We start from the raw sequence: 16907 nt of genomic DNA on the forward strand, positions 1-16907 counted from the left end.
GGGTCAACATCCAAATAACAGGCTTCATTTCAACCTCTAAAATCAGTATAATGTTTATGTATACATTTTTCTTTTACCTCAATGCTATACTGTTTAAATATGGTGTGAGTGTGTATCACATATTATAATTTTTACAATAATTATTTTATATAATTATACTTAATTATATTCACATTTATTTATTTCTTGAAGCAAGTACCTGTACTTGTTCCATGTAATCACACCTACAGCACATGGCCTCTACCAATGAACTTTAAAAACCAATTCAGAAAGCAAAAGGTAAGTTATGTTAAAACCTAACTAGTCGTATTACCTATTTCTAGAGCCTCTGCTCAACAATAAGAATTTAAGGAAAAATAAGTAATATTATAAAACAAAGTTACTATCATAATTGTCTTTTTTTTTTTTTTTTTTAGATGGAGTTTCATTCTTGTTGCCCAGGCTGGAATGCAATGGCACGATTTCGGCTCACTGCAACCTCCCCCTCCCGGGTTCAAGCAGTTCTCCTGCCTCACCCTCCCGAATAACTGGGATTACAGGCATGCACCACCACACCCGGCTAATTTTGTATTTTTAGTAGCGATGAGGTTTTGCCATAGTGGTCAGGCTGGTCTCGAACTCCCAACCTCAGGTGATCCACCCACCTCAGCCTCCCAAAGTGCTGGGATTACAGGCGTGAGCCACCGTGCCCAGCTCATAATTGTCATTTTTAAGGTGCCTCTCAAGATATGGCACATTATTATTCAGAAACAGCACAATGCCTACACCTTCTATAACATATCATCTGCATTATCATAACACATGTGAAAAACCATAATCCAGAACCAAACATCTTTAATAATTTTTAAAATGTTTACAGTATAGGTAGAATACAAAGTATATTTATAACCTCTCTTGTTCCAAAATAAATTTGAAACTGAAACCTACTAATATATTTATAAATTGATTATAAATGATAGTTGAAACAAAGTAAGTTAATGGAAAAATATCCAACTATCCTTAACATTTTCATCTCAAACATTAGGAGAAATATCTAATCCATGCAGGGCTTAAAACCTAGATGATGGGTTGATAGGTGTAGCAAACCACCATGGCACATGTATACCTATGTAACAACCTGCACTTTCTGCACATGTATCCCAGAACTTAAAGTAAAATTTTAAAAAATAATAAATAAATAAATAAAAACATTTTCCTCTCAAAGAACTCCAGCTAATTATGTTTTAAATTTCTCATAAATTATATTGATCTATGTAGTCAATAACTTTTAAAAGGTTACTGGGTCATTTATTCATTGCAGGATAATTCATGATCATCAGCGAAATACCTATAACTGTACTACATTCTCAACTATTAAATGATAATATTCCATTGCAAGGAGTTTTGTTAAGGTTTCTGCATTAAATGATGTAGAAATATATAATTCTGAAAATTTTATGTTCTACTTGCTTGTTTCAAAATGGGCCTGTGATTAAGAGAACAAATTTTTTAACGTTTCTCTGTTAATGTACAAATCTCACTCTCCAAAGTTTACAACCAAATGTTTTGCATCATTACACACACCTGCCACCACCTACAGAAAGAACAAAAGTTGTATACTCTAAATACCAATTGTATGTGGCAGTGTTATTATTTTATCCACATTTCTAAAACCTGTTACAAGTGAAAAAAAGATTAAAATAATTTCTGCAGTTCTAAACAAAGACACCAAAGTATAACTATTTTTCCAATTCGGACCTTCATTAATGTACGAATGCCAAAGCACACTAGTTGGTCTTCCTATTTAACCACAAACATGTCAGGTCTGTTTGGAGTAGTGTTGAATGTGGAAAAGATGTATATCCGGTTGGTAACAGCTTAAAGGTTTTAGAATAAAGCCTACATTTGTGGGTGGCCACAAATCTTAGCTAAAAATTGGCTGAACTATACGGACGTGACTTAGAGAGGTTGGATTTATTGAAATGTTCACAGGCTGAGGTGTCAGAAGAGTTGGCCTTCTGATTATTTCTGAAAAATCATTTAGCTGCTCAAGACTTTGGTTTCTAATCCATGGAACTGGCCCAATGACCTCCAAGCCCCTTTAGCTGTCACATTCAAGAATTCTGAATCTATAGCATGTGTAACAATTGAAGGTAGACTTTCCACCCCATTCTCTAAGCAGAAGGAACACTCCAGTCTTCTGACTGGGGTTCATATATGCTTATATCAGGTTAAATGACAAGAGCATGTCGAAATAAGAATCAAAATGAGAGGATTTATCATCCTTTGTCAGCCACATTCTTATCCTCAATGCTCAGCAACAGGGCTTAGAGTGCTAAACATTTTGATGCAATAATGACAATGCAGTTCACCAAACAAGGCCAAGCTCAGTGGTTTCCAGGAAACTGAAAAGAGAAAGAATGTGGATAGAAATAGTAGAGACTTCAAATGATGAAGAAAATGAATGAAGTTCAAACTGAGAATCAAAAAGAGACAGAAAAAAGACCTAAAAAGTGTGGTCAATGCATTTGGAATGACTAGAACCAGGGAAAGTTTTTCCTAACAATACTAATAAAACATCTTTGAGAGTATTTTATCATTAGTGGGATCAATGGGATAAGGTCAGATTGATTATTTTTTATTTAAAATGCAAAAACTAAAATGGAATTCTTTTGATTTGTGAAAGATAGGATCATTATGCAACTTCATCAAAGGTATTTTTACCTAACCCTAGAAGTCAAAAATGTTCTTTATTTTTTAAAAAAAACAAAAAATCTTTATTGTCACAGTGGAACACTCACACCTCTGAAAAATGAGACAAATCATGAATTATTGTTACTATTCATTTAAATTACTCAAAAAGTCCATCATTATGTTAATGGATTAAAATATCTTTAAATAAGAGAATGATATAATAAAATTGCCTTAATTATGGCTCCCCTTTCTTTAGGAATAAAGGCAATTTAATAGAAAGTAGAAAATTATCTAATAAAGGTAAGTTACAGCACATATTCTATTTCCCTTCAGATGGTTGTTAGTATATATGCGCCAATATACGAATATATATATATAACATAGTTGATAAAAATCTATCTTAAATGTTTATTTTTATGTTTCGTATCATATATTTTCAATTAAAAGTCATATATTAATCAGGTGCAGTGGCTCACACCTGTAATCCCAGCACTTTGGGAGGCCAAGGCAAGCAGATCACTTGAGGTCAGGAGTTCGAGACCAGCCTGGCCAACATGGCAAAACCCCATCTCTACTAAAAATACAAAACTTAGCCGGGTGTGCTGGTGCATGCCTGTAGTCCCAGCTACTCAGGAGGCTAAGGAAGGAGAATTGCTTGAACCTGGGAGGCAGAGGTTGCAGTGAGCTGAGATCATGCCATTGCACTCCAGCCTAGGCAACAGAGTGAGACTCGGTCTCAAAAAAAAAAAAAAAAAAAATCTTCTAAAAGTCTTCTATTGACAAAGTCCACGTACTTGTCATTTTTATCATCCTACCATAGAATTAAATGGGTTAATATTATATAAGTTGCTTTGACATTCCCTTCTTTGAGAACATTTATTTCCTGGGTTTTTTGTTTGGTTGGTTGTTTGGTTTCCTCGGGCATTATTACTTTGAAAATATTCCTAAAAGTAGAATTATACAGGTCAAAAATATGAATCATATTATAGCTGTTGTTACATTTATTGACCAATTGTTTTCCAGGAGAAAAAATAACCCATTCAAACAGCTACCAATAATGTCCAAATATCGCTGTCCCAATCTTTACACCACTCTTACTGACACATAATGATATCACATTTGTCATTCTTTTGGCTGGCCTAACGGGTGTATATAGTTCCTACAGGTTGTCTGAATATGAATTTTAATTGCTGATAAGGCTGAATATTATTCCTTGTGATGACTCACTCTATTTTTCTAAATATATAAAAACCACTTACTGAGATACAATAAGCAATGATCTCTTGTACATGTAGATGCTTTCCATATTTTTAAACATTAATTTATTTCTGTTTATAGACACAACATATGTATATTACAGACAGTCTGAGATATAAACAAAAGCACAAGAATAATATAAAAATCACCCATAATCCCAACACACTTTTCCCTTTAAATACTGTGTGTTACAAAAAGTTAATTTCCTTTCTCCGCCTCCCCATCCATCCCGATCCCCGCTAAAAGTAATTACTGTTAAGCATTTGGTATATGTATATTGTTCCAGGACTTTCCTATGTTTCTTTCTATAAAAATAGAATCACACTGATCATTGTCTTCTGCAACAGGCTCTTTTTCCTTAATACTCTATCACAGACATCTTTTCAAGATACATAGACCTATCTCATTCTTTTGATAGGCAGATGGTATTCTAATCTGTGTACAGTAAGTTATGAAACTGGGTCAAAGCAAGGCAAAAGGGTCCCAGCTGATATCTGAGGTATATACATTACAATTTTTCAGTTACGGTCTCATAGGTAACTGCCACCAGTTCCCCTGCCCCCATAGGTATCTGCCACCAGTTCCTCTGCCCCCTTGATCTTTCACTGCAATCACCCAACCTCTCCTCACCCTTGCCTCAACTCATCAACCCTCATCTCCAGCTTTGGTGGACTGCTGAGGGCTGTCAGAGAAACCTTTCAGCCTTCCTGACTGGCTCCATTTCGCAGCAGGGTTTCCAACCTCCCCTGGGCTACCTGATTGTTTACCATTGCTTTTTTCTCATCTTCACTAGCTCTATTCCAGTCCCTTCCTACCCTTCTTCAATCCCCACTCTACCCTCCCACTCTGACCATACGGAGAGGTCGCTAATTTACAGAGTAAGTAGAGAACATTCAAACATGGCCTCACCCACCTTCTCTTCATCTCTCATCCTGCCTTTCTTGGCCCACCCTTCCTTTCTTTCACCCCAAGTCAGGAAAAGGGTACCTTGGTTCTTCTCCAAGGCTTACCCCTCCATCTTCAATGTTGCCCTCCATACGATGTCCTTCCCCCCTTATCCTGGAAACAAGCTTATGTAAATGCCATATTAATTATGTTAATAATAAAAATGTATATAGCACTTAAAATGTCCAGACCCTCTTCTAAGTACCTTATATATACTAATTTAAACTTCATAACAGCCCTATGAGGTGAGTGTTACAGTAATTGTAATTATCTCCATTCTACAGATTAGTGAATTGAAGCACATTGGGCTCAGGGGACCTGCCAAGGTCACACAGCTACTAAGTGAGATTCAAACCCCAAGCAGTCTGGCCCTTAACCACCAAGCCCCCTATATAAAGCTTATATAATAGGACCAGGGAAATGATTTAGAGCAGAGTGGAGTTAGAAGACTGGATGGGCAGAGAAGCCTGTAGAGCGCCCCAACCAACAGAAAACTACTCTCTTGTTTGTCTGGTTTGAAGTACCAGAGACAAACATCACTGGTATGGGAAATGATGGAGAGACTGTCTGTGGGGGCTGTCTTATGGTGCCTATTCTATGAAAGCGGATACTCCCATTATCTCTTCATTCTAACATCTCAGATTGTCTCCATACAAGTAGTTAACCTGGTGGAAAAACTCTTATCCATGGCTAAAGCCACTACACCTAATACCATGGGAACCAACTAGGCAAGCTGCAGGTGGCTCAGCACAAACTCCCTGACATGTGAAAAGAGCTCAAAGCACAGCTCCTCCACCTACTCACCATCTACAGGCTGCCTGCTTATGCCTGAGACACTCACCTAAACCATCCAGGCACCCCATGATACTTCAACACTCTCTCTACCCAGCCAGTGTCACTCCAGTCTACTTTGAATACTTAGTCCCAGACAGACCATTTCCAATGAGATAATTCTAACTTTCTTCCTCAATATTTACCAGAAATACGTCTCTTTTTGGCTTCCCAATCACCATGCATTTTCCTCCTCCACTATAAAGAATCAAATTAACATTTAACATGTTAGCCCTTTAAATCTCTTTGGGAAGTTACCATCTGTGATTTTTCTACCAAACCACTCCCCTTCCCTCCTACCCCAACCAACACACACAAAACACACTAGTCCCTTCTTTGCTGGGCTAAATAAATACATGTAGCCCCATTAACAATCCTTCATATGACCTGGTTTTACATCTCTTCCTCATCTTGGTCACTCTAATATCTAAATATGATCCATTTTGCTTACTTCTCTCTTAATGTGTCCCAGAGCAGCTGTATGACACTGTTGACTCACACTAAGGAAATCCTACAGATGTGCTTCACACATGCTACTTCCAGCACCCAAGGCTCATCCTTCCTCCACTCTCAGAGCTGCTTTTCAAGGCCCCTATATGCCTACTGAGTTTCATATTAAATGTGTGAGCTTCAACCTCATTCCATTGTGTCTACTTCCCCTAGCTCCTAATAGCTAAATCCACTGATGCCAACACTACCACCTCCTACAGACTAAATCAAATCCCACTTCCTCAACCAGTCTTGACCAAGACAAATGTGTATCAGCAGCCTCAGCCTAACCCTGAAACACAGAATTAAGCTACTTTTCCAGCATTTACTGACAAATCAATCCTAGATGCAGGCGTTTCCAGTAACCCCCAGGGTTCCTATACTGCCCCTTAGCTCACTCTTTCTTCTCCCATCGCTAAAACAGGATATGGGTTTGATCCCTAGATCACCAATTCAGTGGCCACAGATTACCTCTTCCACCAGTAATCCTGAAAGGATGTTCCATTGCAGGAGGCAGAATAAGGCAAAACTGCAAAGTTGGCCATTTCCTATCATTCAGAAACCACATTCTCTGGTTGGAGGGCAGTAGACTAATTTTGTATATAGAAAAGACAATCTCGCATTCTCCTAAAAAGTGTTACTAAACTTTCAAAAGTAACTTTCAATAGAAGATTTAATCCAATTAATAACAAATATTTAGGAAACACAAACTAGTTTTAGATACTATATATTACAAATAACATCACTTCTTATCAAAAATAAGTGTGCCAAGAATCTCTGGCAAAAGAACAGAGGTCATCTTGCACTACTCTCTTGATTTTAAAGCAATGAAATGAAGTCTCTCAGACAGTGGTCCCCAACCCTTTAGGCAATAGGGGGAGGGGTGGGGGAGGGGTATGGTTTTTGGATGAAACTGTCCCACCTTAGGTCATCAGGCATTAGATTTTCACAAGGAGCATGCAAACTAGACCTCTGGCATGTGCAGTTCACAACAGGACTCGCGCTCCTATGAGAATCTAATGCCACTGATCTGACAGGAGGCAGAGCTCAGGTAAAGCAAGAGATGGGGAGTAGCTGTAAATACAAACGAAGCCACCCTCACCTGCTGCTCACCACCTGCTGAGCGGCCCAGTACCTGGTCCTTGGCCCAGGCGTGGGGGACCCCTGCTCTAAGAAACTATGTAATTTATTCAAGGTCACAGAGCAGGCTATTAACAAAACTGAAACAAGGACTCAGGTCTCCAGATTCCCGGCTGAAATAATATCTAGTCATCTATGAGGTACAGTGCGTTTTCAGAGTTTGAAACACACAGTATCTTCCCCTCAACAGGTCACGTGGTACACAACATGAATCCACAATTATGAAATCAGTTATGAATCTACAGTTATGAAACACTAAGCAATGAAAACATACAACAGGGCCAGGCATGGTGGCTCAAGCCTGTAATCCCAGCACTCCAGGAGGCCAAGGTGGACAGATTGCTTGAGCCCAGGAGTTAGAGACAAGCCTGGGAAACAAGGCAAACCCCCGTCTCTCCTAAATATAAAAAAATTAGCTGGTCATGGTGGCACACACCTGTAGTCCTAACTACTCAGGAGGCTGAGGTGGGAGGACTACCTGCACTCCAACTTGGGCGACAGAAGTGATACTCTGTCTCAGAAAAAAAAAAAAAAAAAAAACATAAAACAGTACAGATCAACATTCATGGGCCTTTATCATGCAGACAACAGCCTCTGAAAGTGTTGACTATAAAACACAAAACTATGAAAATTAAATTTGTATAGGGGAACCCAAACATTTTGCTCATGATTACTGATTATAACAAGTTTATCACACTTTAATTCACAAAAAAAGACATTAATCATGAAAAGGAAATCAAGTCTCAGAAAGGCAGTAATAGCATAGTTATTAAATGTTAACCATTTGAATCCTACCTCCTCCACTTACTAGCTGTATAACCTCAAGGAATTAGTCAACCTCTCTTTCGCTCCATTTCTTCATCTATAAAATGAGGACTGTGGTATTTATCTCATGGAGCAGTTGCAATGATTAAATACTTTAGTATCTGTAAAATACTTGGGACAGTGCCTGGCTCATAGTTGGTATTCAATAATTGCTCTTATCTACTCATGTATTATTCTTTTCCACTTGGATAACAACCAACTCTTGACATTTGTCATATCCCTTTAAGTGTAGCCAAATTCCATAAGGCACTGGAATGACATACGATTTCTTAAAGGACCCTGGTTTTGAGCCAAAAATTAAATAATGGTAGAGATGTGGTAGAAAGTAACAGCTACATGTTCAAGGTATGTGATAAATGGCCAATGTGTTAGTCTGTCTGGGCAACAAAATAATGGTATTTTGGGTGGTTTATAAACAACACAAATTTATTTCTCACAGTTCTAGAAGCTGGGAAGTCCAAGATCGAAGAGCTGGCAGGTTTGGTGCCTAGTAAGGGCCCATTTCCTTCTTGATAGGGATGACTTCTCACTACGTCCTCACATGGTAAAAGGGGCAAATGAGTCCCCTGGGGCCTCTTTTATAAAGTCACTAATTTCACTCACGAGGGCTTCACTGACATGACCTAATCACTTGCCCAAATTCCCCACCTCCTAATCCCATCACCTTGGGGACTAGGGTTTCAACAGGGATTCTGAGGGGTCACAAACATCCAAACCACAGCAGTCAGAAATCAGGAGAATGGATCATGGGGAGTGACAGGCTTAGCCCGCCTTGGATTGGCAGATATGGAGTGAGAGGAAGTACCAACAGTTTTCAAAACCAATCAAACCAAAACATTTCATTTATCACATCGAATTCACAATGTACTATCGTTACCACTACAATGACTGGCCAAGAGCCTCCTTACACTTCCCTACCATTCCTACTTCTTTTTTTTTTTTTTTTTTTTTTTTGAGACGGAGTCTCATTCTGTCACCCAGGCTGGAGTGTGCAGTGGCGCAATCTCGGCTCACTGCAATCTCTGCCTCCTGGGTTCAAGCAGTTCTCCTGCCTCAGCCTCCCAAGTAGCTGGGACTACGGGCGCACACTGCCAAGCCCGGCTAATTTTTTTTGTATTTTAGTGGATACGGGGTTTCACCTTGTTACCCAGGCTAGTCACGAACTCCTGAGCTCAGGCAATCTGCCCGCCTCGGCCTCCCAAAGTGCTAGGATTACAGGCGTGAGCCACCGCACCCAGCCCATTCCTACTTCTTCTACTTCATCCCATCAACAGAATCAGAGAAATCTCTCTGAAAATGGAAATAGAGGTCTCCCTGAAATATAATGCCCATGAGATTTCTCATGCAAAGCAAATAAAAATGAGCTATAAAAAAAGCACGATGTATTCATTCCCTTTAGATCTGCTGCCTAACTCTCATTAGGGGGCCTGAGCTCCTGTAGGCTCTGTGTCAGTGCTGCTGCAGTGGGCCTGCAGGCAGTGAGGGCAGTTCAGCTGGGCTTGATTACAAGGTGTGAAGATGGGATTGTGGCACACTCTCAGGGGCTCTGAAGGGCATCACATTTTAAAATCACTCACCTGATGTTTACTCCATGGTGCAGCATATTAAGTGGAATAATGAGAGAAGGGAGTGACTGGAAACAAGAAATCCTACAAAAACCAGGTTATAAGTGGCTAAGGCATGAGGTGACAACACTGAGAGAAGGGTGATAAAAGTAGGGACCAAAAAAAAAGATTTTGAGTCTTAAGAAACTCAGGAAGAATATGGCAACAAACTAGTCACATTGGTTAAAACTCAAAGAAGCTTGAAGATCACCCAAGATGACAGAATTTAGTAGGAGACCAAAAGGGGTTACTGCAGGTAATTACCGCAAGACCACAATCACAAGCTCAGCCTTGACATGTTTAATTTTAGGTAAAATCCAGGTATCCAGCTGAAAACATTCTATGGGTAGTGGGAAAATCATAGTATGACAGAGCAATTCTAAGAGGTTCAGAGCATCAACCAGCTCACAACTTAGTTGCTTTAAGAGTTTTCACTCATCAGGAATGACATGTCTTTATGTTGAGCAAGAAAAACATGAAGTAGGCCAAGAAAGATTTGGAATGCATTAAAATTAACTAGTTACTAATAATATATTAGTAATTACAAACAAAAAGAGAATTTAAGCTATAAGTTCAAAACATAGGGAAGATTTTAGGGAGAACTACCAAATTTTTCCACGAAAAACAAATATTTGTGTCACTGTCAGAATATTAGGATTATGGATTATTATTCTGACTTCACATAGTATCTTACACACTATCTGAAGTCAGAATATGTTTTATATGTTATTTAATGTTTTATATTATATAAATTGCTTAAATTAAGAATAATATCAAAGTCCTACGAATTATATTTTTAGCTTTTATTCACATTGTTACTGACAAATTCACATGGCTGATTTAACACATGAGAACAGTCATAAAACAGTCAAAAGAGACTGAAACCTTTTTTGGTACAAGTGTTGGTTACAATTAAACTTTAAATAAGAGAGATGGACGGGTGCGGTGGCCCACACCTGTAATCCTAGCACTTTGGCAGGCTGAGGTGGGCAGGTCACTTGAGCCCAGAAGTTCGAGACCAGCCTGGGCAACATAGTGAGAACCTGCCTCTATTTTTTTCTTAAAAAAAATTAATTAAAACAAAAAGACTTACCACATTTTCCTTCATCATTTTCAGCTTTTCATCAATCTCTCTCAGCCGATTATGCAGATCGCGTTGCTCTTTGGTGTTCCTAAGTATCTTTTCTCCTGGAGTTACTTCCATATTTCTTTCACCATCACGGTCAGGTTTCTAATTTAAAGAAAAAAAAAAAACATCATTCACAGGCTGGAAATGTGCTGTCACATACCACCTCAAAGCAACTGAGCCTTGAGGGTTAGCTTTGCTTCTCAAACAATTATTTCTTCCCTTCAAAACAATATGTATAACGCTTTAAAGTCTTCCCATTTTAGGAGGTAAATGTCCAACTGTACATATAACAAGTAGGAAAGGAACCCAACTTCTGTAATCATTTGGGAAGCAGAAGGAGACAGTGAAAACAGCTGGAGCCAGGAAACAGGAACCTGGGTTCTGGTCCCTGCTCTGATACTTACCAGCTTGAGACCTTGGACTTTTCTTTGGACTTCAAGTTTATCATGTATAAATAAGAAGGAAAAAACCCTGCCCATCCATATTATTAGAAGCAGCTGTGTAATAATGGGAAGAAAACTGGATTTGGCAAGGTCAGGAGTTTTGAATCTTTGCCCTGCCTGGTTCCTGACTAGACTGACCTGAGGGAAATGAATTAACCTCTCTGAGCTTCAGTTTCATCATCTGTAAAACAGTAACAGTAATAATAGATCTAGGCTAAAAGTCATCACAGTATGTAGTAGGCAAGCAACAAATCTTAATGCCAAACAAATGCGAGCTGAATATGTCCTTTGAAAAGACTAAGTATTACATAATGAAAGTACTTCATTATTGTCTGCAATATTTATATTGACAGAACCATATTTTCCCAAAGTTAATGTTATTTCTGGGTGATAAAAATGGGCATTTCTTGATAGGAATTTGGTCCTGTATCTAAGATTAAACTTCCTTTCTCACATACATCTGCTCTGTGTTGCCATATAAGTGATGGGCAGTAATGACATTTTTGAAATCACTCAAGCCATAATCCTGCTACTCCCTCATTCCTTACATAGAGATGGTCACCAGGAATACTATCTAGTTGCCAATCCCTAATACCTCTCTAATCAAGGCACTTGTTTCTTTCTCACCGTCTTAGTTAAGATATCCTCATCATTCACCAGCAGTTTTTAAACTCCAGTGAGCTTCAGAATCACCTCCAGAGCCCAGGAAAAAATCCGAAGGACCAGCCTCTACCCAGGAGGTTCTGATTCAAAAGGGAAGGACAGGACAGGCCTGGTGGCTCATACCTGTAACCCCAACACTCCAGGAGGTCAAGTCAGGAGGATCCCTTGAGCCCAGAAGTTAGAGACCAGCCTGGGCAACACAGTGAGACCCCATATCTACAAAATAAAAAATAAAAAAATAATTAGCCAGACACGGTAACACCTACAGTCTCAGCCACTTGGGAGGCTGAGGTGGGAGGATCACTTGAACCTGGGAGGTCGAGGCTGCAGTGAGCTGTGATCGCACCACTGCACTGCAGACTGGGCAACAGAATGAGACTCTGTCTCAAAAAAAAAAAAAAAAAAAAGGACTAAGGACTAATAAACTGAAGCACACCTACTTGAGAATTCAAGAACTACTGACTTAGGTTGCTGCCAGAGCCTCCTGGCTGGTCTTGATGCTACCAGTCACCCTGTTGATTCCATTCTTTGCAGGGAAGACACAGAACAAGGTGCAAAGTATTCATGCTTTAGGCCCTGCCAATCTCTTCATCTCATTTCCCACTGCTTGAGACTCAGACTCAAATGTGCAGCAATATTCACTACTACCAGTTCCCCCAATTCCAACCCTCCAACTCCTGAGACTCCTACCCATTTTGGGCCCAGTTCAAGCATATTTCCATAATATTCCCTGACATACCCACAAAGGACAAATTATTCTCTCAGCCACGCCACATGCTCCTTTATTGCACTTACCACACTGTCACCACCTAGACAGTGACATGGCTGACCCTATTCTCTGCATCCCAATGCAAACTATAATCCTGAAGCTGTGTAAGCACTGGCCAATAGACTGTAATTTGGGTTTTCGAAACTTTCATCAAACTAGCAATGAATTTCAGTAAAATTCTTATTGTATACAGTTCTACCAAGCAAATTATTAAGAGTGCGTCAATTTCAAGAAGTGATTATTTTATATTTGGCTTCATTTCTCACTTCTGGTAGCTTTCAATCTCTAGAAGCATCCTGATATCGTTTGGATCTCTGTCCCTACCAAATCTCATGTCGAATTGTAACCCCCAGTGTTGGAGGTGGCGCCTGGTGGGAGGTGATTGGGTCATGGGGGTGGAGTTCTCATGAATGGGTTAGCACCATCCCTCAGTACTGCTCTCATGATTGTGAGTGAATGAGTTACCATGAGGTCTGGTTGTTTACAAGTGTGTAGCACCTCCCTCTTCTCTCTCTCTTCCTCTTGCTCTGGCCATGTAAGAAGTGCCTGCTTCCCCTTCACCTTCTGCCATGATTGTAAGTTTCCTGAGGCCTCCCCAAAAGCAGAAGCTGCTGTGCCTCCTGTACAGCCTGCAGAACCGCGAGCCAATTAAACCTCTTTTCTTTATAAATTACCCATTCTCAGGTATTTCTTTATAGCAGTGAAAGAACAGACTAATACACATCTAGAGGCTGAATTATTATCAGAAATATTTTTTAAAGGAAATCTAATGTTAGGGGGAAGTTTGGAAAAAATGGTATCAAGGTCTCTTTGCAATGCTAAGCAGTCAGCATTTTATAAACTTTCATGAAGATACACCAGCTATGAAGTAGGACACATGGTAATCTGCAAAACACCCCGGATTTCATTTTTAAATTGAAATTATTTTAATAATCTACAACTATGATTTTTTCTAAATCTTGGGGCAAGCAAAGAGAAGGCACAGAAAGAAAAAAATTATAAGTTGCACTTAACAACATTTTTAAATGTTGCTTAATCAAAACCACCACTGTGAAAATGAACAAACCACCAACTGAGAGAAAATGATCATAACACACAAATCTGACAGAGGACTTGTATCCAGAATATGTAAGGAACTCCTACAACTCGATAATAAAAATAATCAAATAGACAATAATAATTAATCAAATGACAATCAAATTCTATAAAGACTTGCACAGATACTTCATAAAAGCTATGTGCATGACAAATAAGAACATGAAAACCTCCTCAACATCATTAGTCACTGGGGAAATGCAATTAAACCACAATGAGACACTACTACACAGCCACTAGCATGGCCCAGATGAAAAAAACTGTGAACACCAAATGTTGGAAATGTGTGAAACAACAGGGACTCTCTTACATTGTTTGCAGGACTATACAAAGGTACAACCACTTTGAAAAACAGGCCATGTCTTTTTTTTTTTTTTTTTTTTTGAGACGGAGTCTCGCTCTGTTGCCAGGCTGGAGTGCAGTGGCGCAATCCTGGCTCCCGGCAACCTCTGCCTCCCGGGTTCAAGCGATTCTCCTGCCTCAGCCTCCTGAGTAGCTGAGATTACAGGCATGCACCACCATGCCTGGCTAATTTTTGTATTTTTAGTAGAGACAGGGTTTCACCATGTTGGCCAGGATGGTCTCAATCTCTTGACCTTGTGATCCACCCACCTTGGCCTCCAAAGTGCTGGGATTACAGGTGTGAGCCACCACGCCAAAACAGGCCATTTCTTAAAAAGTTAAATGTTTGTCGATCATGTGATCCAAAAATTCAACTCCTATGAATTTATCAAAAAGAAATTAAAATATATAACTAAAGCCTTGTACACAAATGTTCATGGCAGCTAAAAACTGAAAACAGCCCAGATGTCCATCAATAGAGTATGATAAACTATGGTGAGCACCTGCCACAGCTGGGACAATCAGAGTGTTTCTCCTTGAGCTCCATCTTCTGGTTAGGTTTAGTCAAAGTGAGGGGAGAGTACAGGACAGAAGGAGAGAGAGCTTAGGGTATTTTTTCCCCTTCCCCTAATGCTTTTGCATCACAGTTTGGGCAGTGATGTATCCCTGAGATGTGCTGAGTTTTCTTAGATTCAACTGCATATTCATGCTCAAAGACTAACAGAGGACACACTTAGAGCCACTCTACTCAGAAGGTTATAAGACAGGAAACACAGCAGGCCAGTATCAGGTATCCCTTTTCAATGGGAGTGTTTGCTACAGTCCATGCCAAAACAATATAGGTATAAAGAGCAAAACAGCTATAAGCTGACTGTCTTAAAATCCTCATATCCTACAGGAGCCATTATCTCTTGAAATGGCCCCATAGGCACACCGAGTCCAAGGACCCAGCAAGAAACGTGCCCAGCCACAAGAATCACTGCAGTCAGAGATGGCCAAAATACAGCTTCTCCATCAGGTCTTTATAATTCTCCCAATCCAGGGATCATTTTAAGCATAAGCAAAGTCGCCTCCTAACATATTCAGCATGCCAACTTTTCTCAGATTGCCAAGGAAACAGAGTTAGGAAACTAATTACCGCTCAAGCGCTCACGCTGAGGGGGCTGGGGTTGGCTAACCCTTTGCCCATGTCCTCTATTATTACAACTTCAGATGGCCAGTTCTTCTCCCACAATTCCAGCTCTTGCTGAGCTCCCACACACTTTTTCTTCCCCCATCCACGGTGGCTAGTCTCTCGGTGTCCCAACATCCACTGTTAGCTCCTTTAAATCTATATAAATAGTCCCTTCATATAATTATCTTCGAAATCCAAGCTAGGTATTCCTTCTGTTTCTTGTCAAAAACTCTAACATAGATATATACATAGATAGATAGATAGATATAGATACAGATATAGATATACACACACACACATATATATACACACACACAAATATAATTATATACATATATATGTGTGTGTACATATATATGTGTGTATATATATATAGTCTGTGTGCGTATAGAGAAATAGACTGGAAGGAAATTTAACAATAATTAACTTGGCAAAAATCCTGATGATTTAATCTTATTTTTCTTATTTTTTTGTAGTTCCTGAATTTCCTACAATAAACATGTTATCAATTTCATAAGCAGACAAACCTTTTTTTTTTTTTTTGAGACACGGTCTTATTCTGCCACCCAGGCTGGAGTGCAGTGGCACAACCACATCTCACTGCAGACTCGACCTCCCAGGCTCAAGCGATCCTCCCACCTCAGCCTCTCAAGTTCAAGTGGCTGGGACTACAGGTGCACACCACCTCGCCTGGCTGATTTTTTTTGTATGAAGAAGAAATGGGTTTCACTATGTTGCCCGGGCTGATTTTGAACTCCTGGGCTCAAGGGATCCTCCCGCCTCAGCCTCTCAAAGTGCTGGGATTACAGATGTGAGCCACTGATTTTTTATTTTTAATAAACTTTTCTGCCAAAGCCATTTTTGTCCTGCTCTGACAATGTGACTCTCCATACCTAAGAGGTATACACCCGAAGGTTGGATTCTAGCTTCCAATCCAATCAGCTGTGCACTTTTGAGGAAGTCACCTCCTCTTTCTGGGTCTCAGTTACTTCTGAGAAAGTTATTTCCCCTTCTAATAGCTTATGAGTCTATAATTCTCTACAGTTAGACCCAAAGGATATATAACAGCTTTCTTCAGTCATGGCCTCCGATGGCATAACCATATAGTTCAAATATTCGAAAAATACTGTATGATGAAAGCAGAGGCCAAGAGGGGGCAAGAAAAGGTTGCCACTGATGCTGATGAAAATTGCCCAGCTGCAAAAAGCTCTGTGGTGCCAGGAAAGATTCTTTTTTCACAACAAAGTGCCAACCAGTACTATCTGTCCTCGTGATCATCAGGAAATATCTTGATTTCTCATAGTAGAAATATTTAATCAGATTATCTGACCAACATATCATTTCTGTGTTTCTGGGTCATACAGGAATGCCTTCATGGAGAATTCAATAAAAGCTCTCCTCCATATGCCACAAGAAGAGAACTGTCCCTGAGGCCAAGATCAATAGATACTTGTTGATTTGACTAATTGGTTGCCAAGAGATTCTGAGTTTATCCTTAGAAAAATTATCTGTGGTGTTGACTAGGCCA

General features: G+C 39.6%; 1 protein-coding gene across 8 annotated transcripts in view, besides 1 other annotated feature; it reads right to left on the minus strand.

The window, feature by feature from the left end:
- FSIP1 (fibrous sheath interacting protein 1) overlaps positions 1 to 16907 on the minus strand; it is a 185402-nt gene that overhangs the window by 105147 nt on the left and 63348 nt on the right. For all 8 annotated transcript variants that reach the window (XM_011521305.4, NM_001324338.2, NM_152597.5 and 5 more), the window contains one exon: positions 10858 to 10995. In XM_011521305.4, the coding sequence (XP_011519607.1) occupies positions 10858 to 10995 (138 nt within the window). The remainder of the gene's footprint in view (positions 1 to 10857; positions 10996 to 16907) is intronic.
- Positions 2122 to 2416: a silencer, noted in NCBI's record as "tiled region #4200; HepG2 Repressive non-DNase unmatched - State 24:Quies". NCBI's record gives its function as "represses a minimal TATA promoter and a strong SV40 promoter by Sharpr-MPRA in HepG2 cells {active_cell/tissue: HepG2}" and the evidence as "EXISTENCE:reporter gene assay evidence [ECO:0000049][PMID:27701403]".

This window comes from Homo sapiens, chromosome 15 (assembly GCF_000001405.40).
Source record: "Homo sapiens chromosome 15, GRCh38.p14 Primary Assembly".
Lineage (NCBI taxonomy): Eukaryota > Metazoa > Chordata > Mammalia > Primates > Hominidae > Homo > Homo sapiens.